Source organism: Homo sapiens, chromosome 16 (assembly GCF_000001405.40).
Source record: "Homo sapiens chromosome 16, GRCh38.p14 Primary Assembly".
NCBI classification, from domain to species: domain Eukaryota; kingdom Metazoa; phylum Chordata; class Mammalia; order Primates; family Hominidae; genus Homo; species Homo sapiens.
In genome coordinates this window covers 2,197,994-2,218,217 of record NC_000016.10, presented here as the reverse complement: position 1 = coordinate 2,218,217, position 20,224 = coordinate 2,197,994, and the positions used below count along the sequence as shown (strand labels likewise).

The 20,224-nt window shown below is 58.3% G+C and overlaps 3 protein-coding genes across 19 annotated transcripts, besides 13 other annotated features; 2 read left to right on the top strand and 1 right to left on the bottom strand.

Annotated features, from left to right (window-relative positions):
• Window positions 2,802-3,461: a silencer, noted in NCBI's record as "silent region_7036". NCBI's record gives its function as "represses an Ori minimal core promoter by ATAC-STARR-seq in GM12878 lymphoblastoid cells {active_cell/tissue: GM12878}" and the evidence as "EXISTENCE:reporter gene assay evidence [ECO:0000049][PMID:35858748]".
• Window positions 2,976-3,270: an enhancer, noted in NCBI's record as "tiled region #5944; HepG2 Activating non-DNase unmatched - State 1:Tss, and K562 Activating DNase unmatched - State 1:Tss". NCBI's record gives its function as "activates a minimal TATA promoter and a strong SV40 promoter by Sharpr-MPRA in HepG2 and K562 cells {active_cell/tissue: HepG2 | K562}" and the evidence as "EXISTENCE:reporter gene assay evidence [ECO:0000049][PMID:27701403]".
• PGP (phosphoglycolate phosphatase) lies at window positions 3,378-6,625 on the top strand. Its single transcript, NM_001042371.3, has 2 exons — window positions 3,378-4,080; window positions 4,165-6,625. The coding sequence occupies exons 1-2, from the start codon at window positions 3,441-3,443 to the stop codon at window positions 4,488-4,490; spliced, it is 966 nt and encodes a 321-aa protein (NP_001035830.1). The 5' UTR covers window positions 3,378-3,440; the 3' UTR covers window positions 4,491-6,625.
• Window positions 3,802-3,851: a silencer, noted in NCBI's record as "silent region_7035". NCBI's record gives its function as "represses an Ori minimal core promoter by ATAC-STARR-seq in GM12878 lymphoblastoid cells {active_cell/tissue: GM12878}" and the evidence as "EXISTENCE:reporter gene assay evidence [ECO:0000049][PMID:35858748]".
• Window positions 4,292-4,421: an enhancer, noted in NCBI's record as "active region_10258". NCBI's record gives its function as "activates an Ori minimal core promoter by ATAC-STARR-seq in GM12878 lymphoblastoid cells {active_cell/tissue: GM12878}" and the evidence as "EXISTENCE:reporter gene assay evidence [ECO:0000049][PMID:35858748]".
• Window positions 4,843-5,656: an enhancer, noted in NCBI's record as "H3K4me1 hESC enhancer chr16:2262563-2263376 (GRCh37/hg19 assembly coordinates)". NCBI's record gives its function as "activates a minimal SCP1, AML or CMV promoter by ChIP-STARR-seq in primed H9 embryonic stem cells {active_cell/tissue: H9 hESC(primed)}" and the evidence as "EXISTENCE:reporter gene assay evidence [ECO:0000049][PMID:30033119]".
• Window positions 4,843-6,470: a biological region, named in NCBI's record as "H3K4me1 hESC enhancers GRCh37_chr16:2261749-2262562 and GRCh37_chr16:2262563-2263376".
• Window positions 5,476-5,770: an enhancer, noted in NCBI's record as "tiled region #11897; K562 Activating DNase matched - State 2:TssF, and HepG2 Activating non-DNase unmatched - State 14:Gen5'". NCBI's record gives its function as "activates a minimal TATA promoter and a strong SV40 promoter by Sharpr-MPRA in K562 cells, with weak activation in HepG2 cells {active_cell/tissue: HepG2 | K562}" and the evidence as "EXISTENCE:reporter gene assay evidence [ECO:0000049][PMID:27701403]".
• Window positions 5,657-6,470: an enhancer, noted in NCBI's record as "H3K4me1 hESC enhancer chr16:2261749-2262562 (GRCh37/hg19 assembly coordinates)". NCBI's record gives its function as "activates a minimal SCP1, AML or CMV promoter by ChIP-STARR-seq in primed H9 embryonic stem cells {active_cell/tissue: H9 hESC(primed)}" and the evidence as "EXISTENCE:reporter gene assay evidence [ECO:0000049][PMID:30033119]".
• Window positions 6,626-7,354: 729 nt separating the features above from the next.
• BRICD5 (BRICHOS domain containing 5) lies at window positions 7,355-8,965 on the top strand. Of its 3 annotated transcripts, NM_182563.4 has the most exons (6): window positions 7,355-7,435; window positions 7,568-7,696; window positions 7,937-8,092; window positions 8,167-8,268; window positions 8,512-8,665; window positions 8,762-8,965. In NM_182563.4, the coding sequence occupies exons 1-6, from the start codon at window positions 7,385-7,387 to the stop codon at window positions 8,854-8,856; spliced, it is 687 nt and encodes a 228-aa protein (NP_872369.2). In that variant the 5' UTR covers window positions 7,355-7,384; the 3' UTR covers window positions 8,857-8,965. The 3 variants fall into 3 exon arrangements, with proteins under 3 accessions (NP_872369.2, XP_047289914.1, XP_047289915.1); XM_047433958.1 differs by having other exon boundaries at window positions 8,512-8,965; XM_047433959.1 differs by having other exon boundaries at window positions 7,355-7,696; window positions 7,937-8,268.
• Window positions 7,910-8,100: a silencer, noted in NCBI's record as "fragment chr16:2260119-2260309 (GRCh37/hg19 assembly coordinates)". NCBI's record gives its function as "represses an EF-1alpha promoter that drives an FKBP-Casp9 reporter gene in an ReSE screen in K562 erythroleukemia cells {active_cell/tissue: K562}" and the evidence as "EXISTENCE:reporter gene assay evidence [ECO:0000049][PMID:32094911]".
• MLST8 (MTOR associated protein MLST8) lies at window positions 8,765-12,764 on the bottom strand. 15 transcript variants are annotated; one of them, NR_147905.2, is made up of 9 exons: window positions 12,706-12,764; window positions 12,004-12,187; window positions 11,809-11,860; window positions 11,559-11,721; window positions 11,108-11,183; window positions 10,194-11,025; window positions 9,884-10,008; window positions 9,605-9,768; window positions 8,765-9,459 (listed from the first exon to the last, which is right to left on the bottom strand). NR_147905.2 is itself a non-coding variant. In NM_001199174.3 (9 exons), the coding sequence occupies exons 2-9, from the start codon at window positions 12,130-12,132 to the stop codon at window positions 9,341-9,343; spliced, it is 981 nt and encodes a 326-aa protein (NP_001186103.1). In that variant the 5' UTR covers window positions 12,133-12,187; window positions 12,343-12,764; the 3' UTR covers window positions 8,765-9,340. The 15 variants fall into 15 exon arrangements, 11 of the variants coding, with proteins under 11 accessions (NP_001186103.1, XP_005255532.3, XP_047290422.1 ...); NR_147904.2 differs by having other exon boundaries at window positions 12,004-12,157; NM_001199174.3 differs by having other exon boundaries at window positions 10,873-11,025; window positions 12,343-12,764.
• Window positions 10,431-11,269: an enhancer, noted in NCBI's record as "H3K4me1 hESC enhancer chr16:2256950-2257788 (GRCh37/hg19 assembly coordinates)". NCBI's record gives its function as "activates a minimal SCP1, AML or CMV promoter by ChIP-STARR-seq in primed H9 embryonic stem cells {active_cell/tissue: H9 hESC(primed)}" and the evidence as "EXISTENCE:reporter gene assay evidence [ECO:0000049][PMID:30033119]".
• Window positions 11,270-12,109: an enhancer, noted in NCBI's record as "H3K27ac-H3K4me1 hESC enhancer chr16:2256110-2256949 (GRCh37/hg19 assembly coordinates)". NCBI's record gives its function as "activates a minimal SCP1, AML or CMV promoter by ChIP-STARR-seq in naive and primed H9 embryonic stem cells {active_cell/tissue: H9 hESC(naive and primed)}" and the evidence as "EXISTENCE:reporter gene assay evidence [ECO:0000049][PMID:30033119]".
• Window positions 12,207-12,856: a silencer, noted in NCBI's record as "silent region_7034". NCBI's record gives its function as "represses an Ori minimal core promoter by ATAC-STARR-seq in GM12878 lymphoblastoid cells {active_cell/tissue: GM12878}" and the evidence as "EXISTENCE:reporter gene assay evidence [ECO:0000049][PMID:35858748]".
• Window positions 12,949-13,789: an enhancer, noted in NCBI's record as "H3K27ac-H3K4me1 hESC enhancer chr16:2254430-2255270 (GRCh37/hg19 assembly coordinates)". NCBI's record gives its function as "activates a minimal SCP1, AML or CMV promoter by ChIP-STARR-seq in naive H9 embryonic stem cells {active_cell/tissue: H9 hESC(naive)}" and the evidence as "EXISTENCE:reporter gene assay evidence [ECO:0000049][PMID:30033119]".

Here is a 20,224-nt window from a genome sequence, read left to right as displayed (position 1 = left end):
GCCTCAGCCTGGCTCAACAGAATAATGCCTGTGGACATTCCACAGCCAGACCCAAACAGGAACTACAAAATCCTTTTTTTTTTTTTTTTTGAGATCGAGTCTCACTCTGTCACCCAGGCTGGAGTGCAGTGGTGCAACCTTGGCTCACTGCAACCTCCGCCTCCTGGGTTCAAGCAATTCTGCCTCAGCCTCCCAAGCGTGTGCTACCACGCCCGGCTAATTTTGTATTTTTAGTAGAGATGGGGTTTCTCCATGTTAGTAAGGCTGGTCTCTAACTCCTGACCTCAGGTTATCTGCCCTCCTCGGCCTCCCAAAGTGCTGGGATTACAGGCGTGAGCCACCGCGCCTAGCGGGCTACTTATATTTTCTATTGCAATGTAAATTGATGCAACTCTGTTAAGGTGAAATAGTGTCTGTTCTCGTGCCACTGAAAGCCATCCCCAGGTCGGCTTGCAGTACAAGATCCTTACTTGGGGAGACACTGGGGCCATCCCCTCACAGATAGAGACTGAATGCCTCCTGTGTGGGGGGCACCCAAAGGGGTCCTCTAGCCCCAGATGCAGGGCCACATCACCCTGTTCCCAAAGTCAGTCCTCTCCTATAAAGCGCACTTTCCTCCCAGCCTCCGCCAGGACCTTCCCCACAAGTGACCATGCCTCCCCTCCTACCTGCACACATACAGGCATATTCTGAGGACGTTAAGCCGACCAGATGGGGCAGAGCTCAGCTTTGGGGTTGACTGAGTTTAATCCCAACTCAACCTTGTCCAGCCGGCGACTCTCGGTGGCTCAGTTTGGCCATCTATAAATGGAGATGTGAATAATCCCTGCCTCTCAGGCCTGTCCTGTGACTCTGAGGAGGTAATGCAGGGAAGGAGCGGTGCAGCGGCCTAGGTGCTCACAGAGTGCCCAGGAAGCCAAGGCAGCCGGGCAAGTGTGGGAGAAGATGGCCCATGGCTGGGTATCATCAACAGTTCCCATTCCAGCCGTTGTCTCAAATCAACTACCTGTTGCTCTGTGGTAAAAGCAGAGTGTGATTCTTGTCAAATCCAGTTCTGCTCAAAGTCAAAGTCATCTTTTTTTTTTTTTTTTTTTTTTTTGATAGGAGTCTTGCTCTGTTGCCCAGGCTGGAGTGCAGTGGTGCAATCTCGGCTCACTGCAGCCTCCGCCTCCCAGGTTCAAGCGATTCTCCTGCCTCATCCTCTCAAGTAGCTAAGATTACAGGCATGTGCCACCACATACGGCTAATTTTTGTACTTTTGGCAGAGATGGGGTTTCACCATATTGGCCAGGCTGGTCTCCAACTTCTGACCTCAGGTGATCTGCCCGCCTCGGCCTCCCAAAGGGCTGGGATCATAGGTGTGAGCCACAGCACCCAGCCAGGATGAATTTCACAAACATTATGTTAAACCGTAGAAGCAAGAGCCAGAAGCACATACCGTATAATCCCAAGTATAAAGCAGTCCGGAGGCTTGGTTGTGACTCTATGGTGATAGGAGTCAGAAAAGTAGTCAGCAATGTGCTATCTGCTATTGACTGGATAGGAACAAGAGGGAACTTCCTGGGGTGTTGGAAATACTTTATACTTTGGTCTGGGTTATGTTTACACAAGCATATACATATGTAAAAAAATCTGCTGGGTGCGGCAGCTCACGCCTGTAATCCTAGCCCTTTGGGAGGCCAAGACAGGAGGATCACTGGAGGCCAGGAGTTGGAGACCAGCCTGGCCAACATAGTGGGACTCCGTCTCTACAAAAAATTTAAATTAAAAAAAAAATTAGGCGTAGTGGCACACACCTCTGGTCCCAAATACTTTGGAGGCTTAGGTAGGAGCATCACATGAGCCTAGGAGGTCAAGGATACAGTGAGCTGTGATAAGGCTACAGTGAGCTGTGATCTAGCCACTCCACTCCAGCCTGGGGGACAGAGCAAGACCCTGTCGCAAAATATATATATACATGTAAAAATGTAAAACTTCCGGCCGGGCGCCATGGCTCACGCCTGTAATCCCAGCACTTTGGGAGACCAAGGTGGGCGGATCACGAGATCAAGAGATCAAGACCATCCTGGCTAACACGGTGAAACCCCGTCTCTACTAAAAAATACAAAAAAATTAGCCAGGCGTGGTGGCCGGCGCCTGTAGTCCCAGCTACTCAGGAGGCTGAGGCAGAAGAATGGCGTGAACCCGGGAGGCGGAGCTTGCAGTGAGCCGAGATCGCGCCACTGCACTCCAGCCTGGGCAACAGAGCAAGAGACTCCGTCTCAAAAAATAATAATTAAAAAAATAAAAGGCCGGGCGCGGTGGCTCACGCCTGTAATCCAAGCACTTTGGGAGGCCGAGGCGGGCGGATCACGAGGTCAGGAGATCGAGACCATCCTGGCTAACACGGAGAAACCCCGTCTCTACTAAAAATACAAAAAATTAGCCGGGCGTGGTGCCATGCGCCTGTAGTCCCAGCTACTCGGGAGGCTGAGGCAGGAGAATGGCGTGAACCCGGGAGGCGGAGCTTGCAGTGAGCCGAGATGGCGCCACCGCACTCCAGCCTGGGCGACAGAGCGAGACTCCGTCTCAAAAAGTAAATAAATAAGTAAATAAAATAATAATAAATGTAAAACTTCCATCGAGCTGCACGGTTTTCATGCCCTTTACTGTAATGTTTTGCCTCAATTAAATACCTAATAATTGATGACGATGACGGCGAGCAATCACTGAGTACCAGGTTCTAGACAGTGTCCTTAGACCCTAATCCCCCAGCCTGGTAATGGCTGGTTCGTGTTACCTCCAAGGAACCGGGAACGCGTTTTTGCAAAGGACTGAGGCGCGTACTCACGCCTGCCGGGGAAGGAGCCCCGGGCTGGCTCGCGGGACTGGCCGGTAAGCGACCCACGTGGTGGCCCCGTGTCCCGAGCGCGTCCACGGCACAGAGGCACGGGCACGGCCGACGAAGGTGCCCCGGCCCCCTCCCGCGGCGCTCCTGCGAGAGCCCCGCCCATGCCCGCGGGAGAGACCGGCCAATGGACAGCCGGCCTGGCCCGGGTCACTCCGTGAAGGGCCTCGTCACCTAGGCTGACCACTCGCTTCCAATGGGTGAGCGGCCCGCGGCAGCCCGGGAACAGCGGCCTTGCGCCTGCGCTGCTCTCCCCTCTGGCGCATTTCCGCAGCGAGCGCTTCACTCCGAATGCCGGTTGGAGCCCTGCCAGCCAATCACCGGGGCGTCCCAAGGCCGGTAGCCAATGATCGCCCCTCTCCCCGCGCCGGGCCTCACCGATTGGCGCTGAGCTCCCGCAGCCCGCGGGAGGCGGGGGCGGATTGGCGAAGGTGCAGGCCAATGGGCGGCGGGCGCGAGGCGCTGGGCCAATGAGCGCCCCGGGGGCGGGGAGGGCGCCGCGGCGGGCGGCTGCGAGGAGCGGCCGGCGGGCGGCGGCGGCCGGCGGGCGGCGATGGCGGCGGCGGAGGCCGGTGGCGACGACGCCCGCTGCGTGCGGCTGAGCGCCGAGCGGGCACAGGCGCTGCTGGCCGACGTGGACACGCTGCTGTTCGACTGCGACGGCGTGCTGTGGCGCGGGGAGACCGCCGTGCCTGGCGCGCCCGAGGCCCTGCGGGCGCTGCGAGCCCGCGGCAAGCGCCTGGGCTTCATCACCAACAACAGCAGCAAGACCCGCGCTGCCTACGCCGAGAAGCTGCGGCGCCTGGGCTTCGGCGGCCCCGCGGGGCCCGGCGCCAGCCTGGAGGTCTTCGGCACGGCCTACTGCACCGCGCTCTACCTGCGCCAGCGCCTGGCCGGCGCCCCCGCGCCCAAGGCCTACGTGCTGGGCAGCCCAGCCCTGGCCGCGGAGCTGGAGGCCGTGGGCGTCGCCAGCGTGGGCGTGGGGCCCGAGCCACTGCAGGGCGAGGGTCCCGGCGACTGGCTGCACGCGCCGCTGGAGCCCGACGTGCGCGCGGTGGTGGTGGGCTTTGACCCGCACTTCAGCTACATGAAGCTCACCAAGGCCCTGCGCTACCTGCAGCAGCCCGGCTGCCTGCTCGTGGGCACCAACATGGACAACCGGCTTCCGCTTGAGAACGGCCGCTTCATCGCGGGTCCGTGCGCCCTGGGGCGGGAGGCTGGGGGGCGGGCGGCGGGCCCCCTCCCTGCCCTTTGACCCGGTCCCCTGTGCCCCGCAGGTACCGGGTGTCTGGTCCGAGCCGTGGAGATGGCCGCCCAGCGCCAGGCCGACATCATCGGGAAGCCCAGCCGCTTCATTTTCGACTGCGTGTCCCAGGAATACGGCATCAACCCCGAGCGCACCGTCATGGTGGGAGACCGCCTGGACACAGACATCCTCCTAGGCGCCACCTGTGGCCTGAAGACCATCCTGACCCTCACCGGAGTCTCCACTCTAGGGGATGTGAAGAATAATCAGGAAAGTGACTGCGTGTCTAAGAAGAAAATGGTCCCTGACTTCTATGTTGACAGCATAGCCGACCTTTTGCCTGCCCTTCAAGGTTAAAGATTGAGTGTCTTTAATCTGCAGAATAAAAAAAAAGAAATTGAAAACCAGTTACCCAAATTAATAGGTGGGGCTTAAGCATCTGCTCGGCTAAGTGGCTTCAAAGAGTGTAATTGGAGTTAAGCAAAGGCATTCATTGTTAACCTTGTAAGTACACGTTTGGGGGACGATTTTGTTTACAGATGCTTGTAATCGAAGATGCACTTTTAGGCTTGGAAGGCGTTGTGGGCTGGGTTCTGGGCCTTGGGTGGGGTTGGCAGGGGCAGGCTCTGCACCTGTCCGGGATTCAGGTAACCAGGGCCTGCCGATGGGACTGAGGCGGGTCTAGGGGTGTGTGTCCTGTATTTTATTGAAAAACTCATTCAGGGATCCAGCCCCTCAGGGGGCAGAGGGACTGATTATTCTGACTGTTGGGAGAGGCTTGCATGGACCAGAGCCCCATCAGTATGACTGAAAGTCCAGCGGAGCCTTCTGTGTCCCTGTGCCTCCCAGCAGGGTGGGAGTGGAGGAGGCGGCTGCTCCCAGGTGGCATCTCCCTGCCCTTGGGTGCAAAGTGCTGCCCTCACCACTCTCCCACCTCCCTTACTTCCTTGAAAACCACTCTGATGTCACAACTGAGTGTCTGTTCCGTTTCAGATACCCAGGGCTGCTGCCCAGTTCTGTAAACGCAGCCCAGCTAAAGCTCTGCTGTCTCAAGTGTGCATTTATACCCAGGTGATTTGGACGGAGCAGCTACCATGGCGTGGACGCCTTCACTGAACTCCGGGCTGCAGTGCAGGGAGCTCAGAGCAGTGCTGCTACCAGTTTTTAACTTTGAACAACTGTGTCAGGCAATGGATTTGAATTTTAAGTGTATTAATAGCTGTGCTCTGTGTCGTAGGCAAAATTCCACTGAAGGAGCCTCTGTGCCCTGCAGCCGGCAGCGCGGCTGAAGCATGTGTTGGCCAAGGAATGCCTGTCATCCAGGTGCCCTGCAGCCAGCAGCGCGGCTCAAGCATGTGTTGGCCAAGGAATGCCTGTCAGTCATCCAGGGCTCTGGGAGGGGACGAGAGTTATGTCCCCAAGAACAGGAAGTCCTTTACAAAGCATCCAGTCTCTTCCTGTCCTCCCCTTCCCTAGGCTGGGGTAGGGGTTAGAGACTGGTGGCCCAGGAGGTCACCTGCCTTGCCCTGGATTCCCTCTTCAGTGGCCAGCAGGACTTGGCAGGGCCACCAGCTCGCCAAGGTTCTGGGCGGGGCTCCAGCCTCTCCTGCCTGCTCCTTGGCTCTGCTGACCTTTCACAGGCCTGACAGCAGACTCAGCAGGGCCATCCCGGGATGCTGCACCTTCTGGCTGGCTCCCTACCAGCGCCTTTCCCTGTACCTGGCAGCTTCTCTCTTGGCCCCACAGTCACAGCACTCCACTTGGTCACAAAGACTTCAGAGCAATAAGAGGCGTCCTGAGCCTTCAGCACCTCCCAGGCCTGGGATATCGGGTTCAGAGGGTGCTGCAGAGCAGCATGAGGGTGGCTCCACCCATGAGGCTGGTGACACTGACGCTGGCTTGGCTAAGTTGGCTCAAGCCGGGTCTGGCCTGACAGGGTGCAGTCACACCAGGAGCGCATGGCAGATGCAGCCTCAGTGATGCCTCTCTTGCCGGGTAGGGGCTGGGAGTCCCCGTGCATCCTGTCTCTGGCCCATGAGGGGCTGCAGCACTGTGGGCGCCAGAGCACAGATTAAACTCTCAAACCCACACTGGCTCAGGTGTCCTTGCTCTCACCTTGCATTGGCCCGGGTGATGCCGTCTCACCACGGGTGGGAGGACTCAAAGTAGATGGGTAACTGGGGTTCCAACTCCAGAGCTGGAATGCCAACTGCCCACTCCCAGCCTGGTTCAGAGGAAGATGTTTTGAAGAATGAGGGAAAGCCAGGCACAAAGGGAAGCCAGGGAAGCAAAGGGCCCTGGAGTGAAGCTGGTGGGCTGCCGTGTCAGAGCGCCCAGGGCAGGGAGCAGAGCTCAGAAGTAATGCTGGCCCGGGCGCAGTGGCTCACACCCGTAATCCCAACGCTTTGGAAGGCTGAGGCAGGTGGATTACTTGAGATCAGGAGTTCAAGACCAGCCTGGCCAAAATGGTGAAAACCCATCTCTACTAAAAATACAAAAATTAGCGGGACTTGGTGGCATGTATCTGTAATCCCAGCTACTAGGGAGGCTGAGGCATGAGAATTGTGTGAACCCGGGAGGCAGAGGTTGCAGTGAGCTGAGATCACGCCACTGCACTCCAGCCTGGGGGACACAGCGAGACTCCGTCTCAAAAAAAAAAAAGTTGGGCTAGGCGGGCCCCCGAGGCTGGCCTGACTGTCCCAGGGGCACAGGCTCCAGCAGGCTGCCTGTCTGTGGTCCAGGCTTCAGGAACCCCCGGTCTTGGGTGTGCGGGGGCTGGGAAGTGGCTGGGGGTGCACAGTCCCACACCTGTCATTCACTGAACAGGCACGTATTGACAGCTTGTGGCGTGTCAGGCCCTGTGCCCAACTCTGGGAGTCAAGGATAACCTGACAGACTCAGGCCACTTTAGGAAAACGAAATCCACCCCAACCACACTTAGCGAGTCACCCTGGCCGGGCCTGGGCTGCCCTCCAGTCGGTCAGCCGGACTGGATTTCCACGCGGCCGAGCCCTACGCCTCCCAGACCCTGAGCTCCAGTCTGCACAGGCCAGGTGTCTGGAGCCGGGCCTGGTGACAGGCATCCCCCAGGTGGGAGGAGGGGCTGTCCTGGCTCTGACCTGGATATCAGATCCAGAGCTGAGGGGGAGGCGCAGGGTCAGGAGGGGAGGGGTTCTGTTCTGAGTTTCCCCTGGCCAAGGCTGCAGACAAGGGACGCAGACAATCGGCACATTGTGAGCAGGGGCTGCAGGATGGAACCAGCAAGCTGCTGTGCTGAGCGCCCCAAACCTGGGCCTACAGGGGTGAGTGCCTCCCGTTACTCCTGCAGCAAGGACCCAGGGGGTGCCCCAGGCCACCCAGCCCCTCCCTTCCCCAGCCCACTTGCTCCCTGATGTCTAACCCTCATGACCCTTCTGACCCTGATGCACGCCCAGGTGAAGACCAAGCCCTCCTGCGGGGGCTGGAGAGCCGTGAGCCTGCTCCTGCTGCTGCTGCTGCTGGTGCTGGCCGCTGTGGGGGTTGTGGCTGGAGGGCTTCTTGGCTCTGCTCAGGGCCCTCCCAAGGTGAGCCCCTCCTCAGCACCAGGGACATGGACAGTGGAAAGGGAGAAGGGAAGCTGGCATATCCCAGCCTCCAGCAGAGCAAGGGTGCGGAGCAGGCAGTGACACCACCTAGGAGCAGACAGCCAGAGGACCAAGGGGTGGAAGGGCCCACTCAGGGGTGTCAGGAGTCCTGCAGCCCAGAGCTGGAGGCTGTGCTGGGGTTGCACAGCTGCCCGGCTGAACTCCAACTCCCACTGCCAGCCAAGGCTGCAGACGCTGCGAATGACCCTCCCGAGCCCCCACATGCCCCGGCCCAACCAAACCATCCTGGTGGACGTGGCCCGGAACGCGGCGACCATCACAGTGACCCCACCTCAGAGCAACCACAGCTGGGCGGTGCTGTTCGACGGGCAGAGCGTGAGTGGGCAGGGAGGGGTCACCCTGGCAGGTGTCGGTCTGGGGGGCCCCGCCTCACCCCCCTGCCTCCCCAGGGCTGCATCTGTTACCGCCCTGAGGAGCACCAGGTCTGCTTCCTCCGCCTGATGGAGGACAGTGATCGGGAGACCCTGCGGCTGCTGGTGGATACCTCCAAGGTGAGCCGTCCTGCTGGGCGCAGGCCCGGGCCAGGGGCTAGACAAAGGGTCCTGTGTGCAGCCCAGTACGGGACAGGCTGGAGCTGTGGTTTCAGGGAACAGGAAGCTCTCTCCGCCCTAAGCCCAGGCTGCTGACAAGAGCTGAGGGTGGGGACATCACTGGGGGTTGGAGGGTACCCGGCCCTGCCAAGCCAGGAGCAGGGAGCAGCCCTGTCCCACCGCCCACCAGAGCCTTCTCAACAGGTCCAAGAGGCTTGGGTCCCCAGCCAGGACACCCACCACACCCAGGAGCTGCTGGCAGTGCAGGGGAGCCTCGAAGTGGACCCCGCCCAGGCGGGGGCTTTGGTGCAGCGCCTGTGCATGAGGACCCCCATCTACTGGGCCCGGCGAGCAGAGGGTGAGTCAGGACCGCTGTGGGGGAAGGCCAGGCCCTCGGGATGGTTTGAGGAGCTGGGGGCGGAGCCCTTGGAGATTCACGGCACCCTCGCCACAGGGCCCCGGAGACAGCGGCTGATTTATCTCTGCATCGACATCTGCTTCCCGAGCAACATCTGCGTGTCGGTCTGCTTTTATTACCTCCCAGACTGAGCCCCCGACCTGGCCCAGCCTGGCCCGTCCCCAATCCAGTGGGCTGGCCAGGCCACCTGCACCAGGGAGGACAGCTGCTGGCAGGGACTAATAAACCCTTCCACCTGGCCATGGTGGTGGTGTTCTCTATGGACCGAGGCCCTGAAACGCGGGCAGGGAGGGGCAGAGAACACACTAGCTTGGGGGTGGGCACCAGCCTCAGACCCCTCAGCAGCTTTGGGCCCTCGGCCGACTTTCCCAGGCAGTGCAGGCTAGCCCAGTCCAGGAGTGTGCAGCCTGGCTTGGGTCGAGCTCTGTCACATCTGGATAAGCAACTGGGGGCTGAGAGTCCCAGGGCAGCCTGGCCCAGCAGGTCAAGGCGCCACAGGGGGCCATCAGGTCCAGCTGGCGCAGGCCGGCAGGGGAGGGTCTGCTCTGACCTGGGTGCTGCATGGGTCCCTCCAGCTGCCACCACCTGCACCAGGCAGTCCCGAGGGGTCACAGGCTAGCCCAGCACACTGTCATTGAAGGCCAGGCAGACAACAGCCTTCTGGTGGCCGCCATACTCTCTCTTGATCTCTCCAGTCTCCACACACCAGAGCCGGGCCAGGTTGTCCGAGGAAGCTGGAGGGGGAGATTGTGCAGGGCTAAGAGCGCAGGTGCAGGCCAAGCAGGCGGCCCCAGCAGAGGGGAAGCTGCAGCCGAGGTGGGCTGGCTCTGGAGGCCAGCGCCGGGGGCCAGGGATGGGGGAGGCCAGGGCGGGGCTCACCAGTGACGATGTACTGGGAGTCCCCCGAGAAGGCGCAGCCCCACATCCAGCCGCGGGAGGACTCCCCGGGGTTGCCGCTCTTGATGCTCAGCTCCGTCATCAGGGAGAAGTTGGACGTCCTCCAGATCTTGCACGTCTGATCAGCCGAGCAGGTGGCGAGGAGCCTAGTGGGTGGGCATGGGGCGTGTCCAGCAGCAGCCACTCCATCCAGCAGCCCCTCCCCTCTCCAGCCCCCAGCCCAGGCAGGTCCCCTCCCGGGCCAGCAGGCCCTGCACGCACGTGGAGTCGGGGCTGAAGCGACACTGCAGGGCGTAGCGCGTGTGGGCAGGGATCTTAGTCTTGGGGATGAGCTGGGTCACCTCGTCACCAATGCCCCCCGTCAGATTCCAGACATAGCAGTTTCCCTAGAGGTCAGGAGGACCGTCACGGAGGGCCCAAGGCCTCAGGTCTGAGACACAGGGAAGGATGCCCTGGGGGCCAACACTGGGGGCCAACTGTGCATGGGGACCCCGGGTGAGGGGCAGGCAGGCCCCTCTGGTCCTGCCTGCAGAAGGCACCTGGGAAGCCTGGCCCCAAGCAAGGGCCACACCTGGCAAGCCAAGAACAGGAGGCCACGCCTGGCCAAGGACTCAAATTCTCCTTCCTGGAGGATGCCGATGGCCAACGGAAGTAGACAGGAGAAGGGCACCAGCTAGAGAGACAGCATGACAAAGGCCAGCAGAAGGGAAATCCGGGGGCAAGAGGTACAAGTGATGCACTGGGATTAAATGAAGTTAATGAAAAAAAATGAGGCTGGAGAGAAGAGCAGGGGCCACGCCACAGCAGCCTACGGGCGAGGCCAGCAGCCCCGGGTCTCCTCAGGGGAATGACGCCACCTGGCTGATACTGACCAGGCACCACTAGAAGCATCCAAGAGAGAACGTGTCAGGGGCCAGGGGAGGTCAGGGAGGGGGAAAGGAAGCCTCAGAGAGTGTGTCAGCCGTCACCAGAAACAAGGGTGACTGGGACCAGGAGGCAACAGAGTGAAAAGAGGGAAGTGGATCGACTTGGGAGAGACTCCAGAAAGCGGAGTGACCGACCTGCAGACAGGACTAAGCCATCGGGAGCGACACTAAGGCTTCTGGCTTTGCTGGCAAGGTGGGTGTTAGTGCCCGGGATGGGGAAAGCAGGAGGGGGCCGCTAAGGGACATCCAGGAATAAGCCCACCTGCAGAGGCTGAGGGCTGAGTGCCAAGCTGCCCGCACCCAGCACCTGCCACCAGGACTCACGGTGCTATTGACAGCTGCCATGTAGCTGGCGTCGGGATCGATGTGGGCGGACGTGATGGAGACCTCGGGCTCAGGGATCAGCTGCTCGTTGTGGTCTGTTTTCAAGTCCCAGATGTGGATAGCCCCGCTCTGGTCACCCACGATGAGCTCTGCCTGGGGTGCAGGGGTGGTGAGGCAGGGCCCAAGCCCAGCCCTCCAAAGTCCCAGGGTGCCTGGCCCCATGAGCACCCCTCACCTGGTTGGGGTGCAGGCACACGCAGTTAATGGGTGCGTTCACCTGGAAGATCCGCTGGCACTGCAGGTTCCGGGACCTGCGGGCCGGGCCGGGGCACATGCTGTCCATCTGGGCTTGTTGGTGCCCTACCCAGATGGCCTCGGCCTGGCCATTCCTCCCCTCCCTCTGCTGAAGGACCTGCCTCTTGGGAAATACTTGGGACGCAGGGCCCTCTGCTCCAGCAGGGAGCCTAAGCCAGTGGCTGGTGGAAGGGGAATAACAAGCTGGCTCCGGGCTCAAGGCAGGACTCGCGCTCTGATGCAATTCACTCTCCTCCTGTCCTCACTTCTCTCAGTAAGTCGCCCACAGGAAGCTCCCTGTCTCAGCCTCTGCTTGAAGAGAACCCAACCTAAAACGGTCTCCCAGAGCAGCCCACCCCAGCCCCGGGCAGCACGCCCCCTCCCCACCGCACCTGAGGTCCCAGATCCTGGCTGTGCAGTCCTCGCCGCCCGTGTACATCCAGCGGCCGTCTTCGTGGAAGCCCACAGACGCGATGTTCTTGTTGACGCCGTCGTAGCTGATGATGGGGTTAGGGTTATTGGAGTTGAGATCATACATGCGGATGTGCTGGTAACCTAGGGACACAGGCTGAACTGAAGCTTGGCTGTGCTGAGGTCGACCCACCAGAGCTCAGGAGTTTAGAGATCAAGGATCACAGATACCTGCAGCAGCAATCATGCTGCGGTCCGGTGTGACCTCCAAGGCATTCACCTGCTGGGACTGTTAAGGAGGATGACGGGAAGGTAGCCCTGAGGCCAGGGCCCCCCAGGCCTCCACCATCTGGCCTTCACACAGGCTGTGGTCCCCACACGAGGCATCCCCCCAGCGCCGCCCTGCCCGCCCCGGGTGGAGGATACGGAGTCCTGGTGCTGCACCGTCCGGGTGCAGATGCCGCTGTGGGCCTGCCAGAAGCGCACGGTGTGGTCGTAGCCTGCAGTGGCCAGGATGACCGGGTCACTGCCCACCGTGCCTGGGGAGGTGTTCATGGTGTGGCCTGCACGGGCCCTAGAGCTGAACGGCAGGGGTCAAAGGTCAGAGCATCTGCAGAGAAGGATGTGAAGTACTTAGAAGACACTCTCTGTGCTAAGTAGATTATAGACCCACAAGGCGCTGCCGAATGGCGCTTATCATTCCCATTTTAGAGTTGGGACAAGAAGCGCAGGTAGGTTCAGGGACACGCGTCACACGCGTGATACCTGGCTCCGGGGCTCCAGGGCGCGTGCTCCATCCCCGCCCCACGCACACGGCGGGGGCGCCGTCCCCCCCCCACCTCCGCAGCCGGCAGGGGGGAGTCACGCGCGGGCGCCACTCTGCCGCAGGGGCGGGCTGCGCGTGCGCAAGGCGGCGGATGGGCCGGGGAAAGCCGAGCGCTGCGGCTGCGCATGCGTAGCAGGCCAGCGGCAGGCCCTGATGGGAAAGGGCGCAGTCTGGCTGGACCCCCGAGCTCCCCTTTCCTCCGGTGACCGCCCTTGCTCCGTCCTGCTGGCCGGCTTCCCCTGGCCGTGCTCTCCCAGCCACCCAGCAGCCGGTTCCCGGCCCCTGGCTCGCGGCCTCCGTACCTTACGGGCGGCTCCGCACTCCGCCGTGTCCAGGACGGCGAGGGGAGCCGGAGCGAGTCGATCGAGGCCGAGCGTAGAGTTATCGATGGCTCCCTAGGGCGAGACCATGGCGCGGGCGGGGGTGGGTGGGACGAGACCAAAGTTCTGGGGCGGGGGGTTCCCGCCGGGAGGAACTCGGAGCGGTCCCCGTGCGCGGCCGCGGGCCCGGCGCGAGGTGGAAGGAAGCTGCGGCTTTCTCTCCGGCCTCCTGCCCACTGGCACCTGCCCTTCTGACACGGCTGTCCGTTTCCCGGGCTGTCGGGTCGCGCTGTTCCGGTGCCCTCCCTGACCCACTACTGCGCCACGCTGGGCTAGGATTGGCTGAAAATTACAGGACTTGAATTCAGACAAGTAACGAATAATTTTTTTTTTAGTGTAAGTATATCCAGGACATTGCATGGGAAATACTTATGCTAAAAAAATTTTATTGGGTATCCTGTAGTTTTACTTGCTAGATCTGGCACCCCAGCCCCAGCCTGACCCTCAGGACATCCCACTGAGCCCAGGGTCCCCCTCAAAACCACAGGCCCTCATTCCAGCTCTGTGAGCTCCACGCCGGTGCCCTCACCCTTGAGACAGGCTGTCGCATGGTTTTTTCCTGCTGCTCTTACAGACCTGGCTGCACCCCTTCCTCTGGCCGCAGAGGGGGTGCATCTTGTCCCTTGACCAGGCCATAGTTCCCATGGAGCCTTCCTTCCTATACCTTCACCTCCTCTCCTTCCTGCCGGTTAGCCTTTAAAAAAACACCATAAAACAATCCCAAATTATCTTCTTCAAAGAGCGGTCCTCACCATTTTTCTAGTTCCACGTCCTCACCTCCCACTCATTCCGCAACCCCAGTCATCTGCCTTTTACCCCCAGCTCTCTAGCTCTCCAGTGGAAATTCCTCAAGGTCACTGACAATCTCACTTTGCTAAATCCAGTGGATACTTTTCCTTCTTCCCACCTTTTTTTTTTTTTTCTCTCGAGACAGAGTCTCGCTTTCTCGCCCAGGCTGGAGTGCAGTGGTGCAATCTCGACTCACTGCAAAACCTCTGCCTCCCAGGTTCAAGCGATTTTCCTGCCTCAGCCTCCCGAGTAGCTGGGATTACAGGCACGCACCACCACACCTGGCTGATTTTTGTATTTTTAGTGGAGACGGGATTTCACCATGTTCGCAAGGCTGGTCTCAAACTCCTGACCTCAAGTGATCCGCCTACCTCAGCCTCCCAAAGTGCTGGGATTACAGGCGTGAGCCACTGCGCCCGGCCTCTTCCCACTTCTTCTTTCTTTTTTTTTTTTTTTTTATTGAGACGGAGTCTCGCTTTGTTGCCAGGCTGGAGTGCAGTGGTGCGATCTCGGCTCTCCACAATCTCCACCTCCCGGGTTCAAGCTATTCTCCTGCCTCAGCCTCCCGGGTAGCTGGGATTACAGGTGCATGCCACCACACCCAGTTAATTTTTCTATTTTTAGTAGAGACAGACTTTTCACCATGTTGGCCAGGATGGTGGATGGTCTTGATCTCGTGACCTCGTGATCCGCCCCCCTCAGCCTCCCAAAGTGCTGGGATTACAGGCGTGAGCCACTGCGCCCGGCCCCCTCCCACTTCTTGACGCATCTGAGCCATGGTTGACGGCACCATGCCTGAAAGGCTGCCTTCTCCTAGCTCCTGTCCCCGACATTTAGTCTCTTTCCCTGCCTGCCCGCAAGGACTCAGGCCCTTCAGCATTCACTCTGTGCACCCCACGAGATACCAGGGGGCTGATGACTGCTAGCTCTGGAGCTTCCAATGCTGTCCCTGTCCTGGGCCCCTTCCACCCTGTCTCCAGCTCTGATGGCCTCAGCTCCCTGTTAAGACACTGTCCCTTGAATGCCCCGCAGGGTCCACCATATTCCAGGGCCAAGACAACCCATCCCTGAGTAGCTCCCCTTCTGTGGGCAGTGCCCACCTTGTATTACAGCTGGGCAAGATCCGACACCTCCCCTCCCTCACCCTTCCCTTCCCTTCAGCCACCGATTTTACCTGTGATATACCTTCCTGTCCTTTCCACTGCCCTGGTTCTAGCTCACCACCCCCATCCCCCATAAAAGCCTCCTTCCTTGCCCCAGCCACTCTGGCCCCCTTCCAAACTGTCCACCACAGTGCAGAATGGCCTTTTATTTATTTATTTATTTATTTATTTATTTATTTATTTATTTTTGAGACGGATTTTCACTCTTGTTGCCCAGGCTGGAGTGCAATGGCGCGATCTCGACTCGCTGCAACCTCCACCTCCTGGGTTCCTCAGTCTCCTGAGTAGCTGGGATTACAGGCATGCACCACCATCCCAGCTAATTTTGTATTTTTAGTAGAGACAGGGTTTCTCCATGTTGGTCAGGCTGGTCTTGAATTCCTAACCTCAAGTGACCCACCCACCTCAGCTTCTCAAAGTGCTAGGTTTACAGGCGTGAGCCATCGCGCCCGGCCAGAGTGGCCTTTTAAAAACCTCAGTCTGAGCCCAGCACAGTGATTCATGCCTGTAATCCCAGCACTTTCGAAGGCTGAGGCAGGAGGATCACTCGAGCCCAGAAGTTCAAGACCATCCTGAACAATATAGTGATACCCCATCTCTACAAAAAATTTAAAAATTAGTCAGGAATGGTGGTGCGTGCCTGTGGTCCCAGCTTTGGGAGGCTGAGGTGGAAGGATCACTCGAGGCCAGGAACTCGAGGCTGCAGTAAGCTGTGGTTGAGCCACTGCACTCCAGGCTGGGTGACAGAGCAAGACCTTTTCTCAAAACAAAACAAAAACCCCCAGCAAAACCTAGGAATGACTTGATCACCCCATTAGAAGCCCTCAGGGGTCCCTGTCCCTCTCCAGACTCCTGGGCCTGGCCCTGGCCCTGGCCCATCCTGTGGCTTCCATCTCCTCTCCATGTGATACCATTAGGCTTTGTGTCCCCACCCAAATCTCGTCTTGAATTGTAATCCCCATAATCCCCATGTGTCAAAGGAGAGACCAGGTGGAGGTAACTGAATCATGAGGGCAGGTTCCCCCATGCCGTTCTCATGATAGTGAGTGAGATCTCAAGAGATCTGATGGTTTTATAAGGGGTTCCTCCTCCTTTGCTCCACTTCTCCTTCCTGCCGCCTTGCGGAGAAGGTGCCTTGCTTCCGCTTCGCCTTCCGCCATGATTGTAACTTTCCTGAGGCCTCCCCAGCCATGCTGAACTGTGAGTCAACTACACCTCTTTCCTTTATAAATTATCCAGTCTCAGGTGTTCTTTATTGCAGTATGAAAATGGACTAATACTCCATGGGTCCTGTACTCTGGCCAAAGGAGACATGTTCTCCTCTTTTGTTTTCTTTTGTTTTGTTTTTCAGACGGAATCTCACACTGCTGACGGGGATGGAGTGCAATGGCGCAATCTCGGCTCACTGCAACCTCTGCCTCCTGGGTTCAAGCAATTCTCCTGCCTCAGACTCCTCCCAAGTAGCTGAGATTACAGGCACCCCGCACCACGCCTGGCTACCTTTTTGTATTTATAGGAGAGACGGGGTTTCACCATATTGGCCAGGCTGGTTTCGAACTCCTGATCTCGTGATCTGCCGCCTCGGCCTCCCAAAGTGCTAGGATTACAGGCGTGAGCCACAGCACCTGGCCATGTTCTCCCCTTTGAGCCCTTGACTGTGTCTGGGATGCTTTTCCCTCTACGCCTTACCTGCCAAATTCCTGGTTTTCAGCATATCTAGTAACATTTTCTTTTGGCTGGGCATGGTAGCTCACACCTGTAATCCCAGCACTTTGGGGGATCGAGGTGGGAGGATCGCTTGATCCTAGGAGTTTGAGGCTAACCTGGGCAAGATGGCAAGATGACCTCTTCTCTGCAAAAACCTTAAAAAAAATTAGCTAAGTGTAGGCCAGGCGCGGTGGCTCACGCCTGTAATCCCAGCACTTTGGGAGGCCGAGGCCAGTGGATCACGAGGTCAAGAGATTGAGACCATCCTGGCCAACATGGTGAAACCCCATCTCTACTAAAAATACAAAAATTAGCTGGGCATGGTGGCACACGCCTGTAGTCCCAGCTACTCGGGAGGCTGAGGCAGGAGAATCGCTTGAACCTGGGAGTCAGAGGTTGCAGTGAGCCGAGATTGTACCACTGCACTCCAGCCTGGTGACAGGGTGAAACTCCATCTAAAAAAAAAAAAAAAAAAAAAGGAAAGTAAAGAAAACTTTTTGGCCGGGTGCAGTGGCTCATGCCTGTAATCCCAGCGCTTTGGGAGGCCAAGGCGGGTGGATCACGAGTTCAGGAGTTTGAGACCAGCCTGGCCAAGATGGTGAAACCCAGTCTCTACTAAAAGTACAAAAATTAGCTGGGTGAGGTGCCAGGCACCTGTAATCCCAACTACTCAGGAGGCTGAGGCAGAAGAATCGCTTGAACCTTGGAGGCGGAGTTTGCAGTGAGCCAAGATCGCTCCACTGCACTCTAGCCTGGGTGACAGAACAAGACTCCGTCTCAAGAAAAGAAAAGAAAAGAAAAAACTTTCTACAGTGCACTCAAACTAGAACTCAGGATGAAGAAACTCACTCAAAACCACTCAACTGCATGGAAACTGAACAACCTGCTCCTGAATGCTGACACCACAGCGTAAACTTTCTGTTTGTTTGTTTTGTAGAGACGGGGTCTCATTGTCTTGCCTGGGCTGGTCTTGAACTCCTGGGCTGAAGCAATACACCCGCCTCTGTCCTGAGAGGTGAGTGATTACAACTCTCACCACCCAAAGTGCTGAGATTACAGGCATGAGCCACCATGCCCAGCCAGTACATTCTTTTTCTATGGCTAAGTAATATTCCACTGTATGACTAGAGCACGTTTTATGTATCTTCTCGTCCATAGGTGGACATTTGGGGTGTCTCCTCCTTTTTGGCTGTCATGAATGGGGCTGCTGTGAATGGTTGTGTGGTTGTGTGCCAATGTCTGAGAACGTGTTTGCATCTCTTGGTAAATACGCAGAGCGGAATTGCTGGGCTATAGGAGCATTTTACCTGCCTTATGCATGGAGTCCTCACAATGACTCCAGTAGGGAAGAATCACCCTCATTTTGGAGATGAGAAAACTGAGGCTCAGAGATGCAGAATTGCATGTGGAGGGCATAGGGCTAGAAGGTGGTGGAGCCCAGGGTTTGTTCAGCTCTAGGCCGGGCCCCATCCTGCTGGGGCTCCACCTGCCACTGATCATGCCCCTTCTGGTGAGGTGACTACTCCCCAGGCAGCCCCTGCACCCCATAGTCCTCCTCATCTTCCTCTCGAAGTAGACAGGGGCTCTCTAACCAGGCTCTATACCAGGCTTGGGGCAGCTTTGGGGAGTAGAGGTGAGCATGTGGGCTTGGATGGCTGGGAGAGGAAGCGCCTTCGAATCCCAGCAGTGTCTGGAGCAGCATAGACCCGGGAGCAGAGAGCAGGAGACAGGGTGGGGCTGAGGCAGGCTCAGCTAGGTGCGTGGGGTCCTACGTGTCTCAGGGCCCTGCACTGTTTGCCTTTTCCGTGGGGCCTCTGGGCGGCACATGGGGGCTGAGGGCAGGGGCCAGCTCTGGGAGCCTGCATGTGTCCCAAGCCTAGGGGAAGCTGACAAACTGGTCGTGGCCCCAACCCAACCTGAGTAGCTCCTGCATTTCTGTGGGGCAGGAGGCTGGGACGGTGGTGTGTGGGGGTCGATCCTCGGTGATGGTCCGGGCCCCAGCTCAGTGCTGTCAGAGGCGGTGCCACAAGAATGAGAGGAGCCACAGCAGCCAGCCCATGGGAGGGCACGTTCCTCATGCCCATACCAGAGCTTTGGGGGCTTGGGGGACCACCAGGGAGCCCCTGAGCAGACACACAGCCAGTGGGCAGAGGAAGGGGCTGCGGGCTGGCCGGCACACACCGTACATCTGGGAAGGAGGCCAGCCCAGGCTGCAGTGAAGCCTCCGCCAGCTCCATTCCAGGCTGAGCCTCAGCAATTCTGCTGGCTCAGAGGCCCCCTCCCAGGATCATCCTTGGAGGCTTGACTTCCTGGAGGGCTGCCCGAGTCCCACACCTCTGCATCCTCATCCCCCAGCCAGAGTGGCCACCTGCCCTGCCCCCCCATCCCCAGGCTGCAGGGACCCCAGGCAGACACACATCTGTTTTCATGGGGACCTTCCCGTCAGCCCTAAGCTGCAGGCGGAGCTGCTGGCCCATTTCACAGATGAGGCAGCTGAGCATCGGGGACTCACCCAAAGTTACTGGTTACAGCATCAGATCCAACGCTTCCCAGTCCCTCCTGGGCTTATCCTCACCTAGCAGAAGGCTCTGGTCCCCTCCTGCCACACTGCACCCCATGGGGTGAGGAATCTCTGAGGTCCTGAGCAGCAATCCACCTGGAGCCTAGGTGCCCCTTCTAGACCACACTCTGAGCACGTAGGACCCTGGAGTTTCCTGCCCAAACAGCCCCAAGCCCACTTCCAGGATCGGCACAGCCCTCTGCCCAGTCTGTCCTCCTGAAGGTGGGCCACGCAGCAGGGTGCCCACCCTAGCTCTGAGGAGCGACTAAGGGGGTGCCTGTTTATGGGGTGTGGACAGTGCTGGAGCTGAGCAGAGAACAGGTGAGGTAGCTACAAACGGGGGCCAGTTCATCACCCGAGGAATCTGAGAATTCTCAATTCGAACTTGGGCTTTCAGGCCATGATGAAGGTATATTTGTCAAGGTAGGAGAATAGAACATACTTAACAGGTGACTGGCGTGATTTGTAGCGTTTAAATATTTGAACATTTGGTGTGTGGGCTTCTGTTTGTGTGTTAAGCACAGGTCAGGGTGGTTTGCCTTAACATGTCCAAAACATAAAAGTAATAGTAATGCCAGCAGCTATCTTATTTTTATTTTTAGTTCTTCCTATGTGCTCTTCACACTGCAAGGTAGCGTAGATACAAAGATGCACAAAACACAGTTGCTGCACAGGCAGAGAGGCCCAAGAATATCACAATATCTACAGCAGCCATTTTTTTGAGCACTTACTAAGTCCTGCCGTGAAATGCTTTGTGGATAGTATCACAATTTATCCTCCAGTAACCTAAGGGGAGGTAGCATGCATATCCTCATTTTACAGAGGGGCACAGACACTTAGGCAGTGGGCTGGGTGTGGTAGCTCACGTCTGCAATCCCAGCACTTTGGGAGGTTGAGGTGGGAGGACTGCTTGAGGCCAGGAGTTCGAGACCAGTCTAGGTAACATACTGAGACCTCATCTCTATTAAAAATCAAAAAAAATTAGCCGGGCGCTACTCAGGAGGCTGAGGCGGGAGGACTGCTTGAGCCTGGGATGTTGAGGCTGCAGTGAGCTATGATGGCGTCACTGCACCCCAGCCTGGACGACAGAGCGAGACCCTGTCTCAGAAAAAAGAATGACAAAGTGACCAGCTCATGGTCACAAACCACTAAGAGGGGGAATAGGACACATCCAGAGGTGCGGGTGCAAAGCCCAGACTTACAACCTCAAGACTCTGGGACC

Bases quoted from the DNA above. Each gene is read 5' to 3' on its own strand.
- PGP (NM_001042371.3), top strand. From the start codon at position 3,441: ATGGCGGCGGCGGAGGCCGGTGGCGACGACGCCCGCTGCGTGCGGCTG. The intron at 4,081-4,164 runs GTCCGTGCGCCC...TGTGCCCCGCAG, and splicing joins GAACGGCCGCTTCATCGCGG to GTACCGGGTGTCTGGTCCGA.
- BRICD5 (XM_047433958.1), top strand. From the start codon at position 7,385: ATGGAACCAGCAAGCTGCTGTGCTGAGCGCCCCAAACCTGGGCCTACA. The intron at 7,436-7,567 runs GTGAGTGCCTCC...ATGCACGCCCAG, and splicing joins CCAAACCTGGGCCTACAGGG to GTGAAGACCAAGCCCTCCTG. The intron at 8,093-8,166 runs GTGAGTGGGCAG...CTGCCTCCCCAG, and splicing joins TGCTGTTCGACGGGCAGAGC to GGCTGCATCTGTTACCGCCC.
- MLST8 (XM_005255475.4), bottom strand. From the start codon at position 12,530: ATGCGCAGCCGCAGCGCTCGGCTTTCCCCGGCCCATCCGCCGCCTTGC. The intron at 12,158-12,342 runs GTATCACGCGTG...CCTGCCGTTCAG, and splicing joins CCCTGGAGCCCCGGAGCCAG to CTCTAGGGCCCGTGCAGGCC. The intron at 11,740-11,808 runs GTATCTGTGATC...GCCAAGCTTCAG, and splicing joins CAGCATGATTGCTGCTGCAG to TTCAGCCTGTGTCCCTAGGT.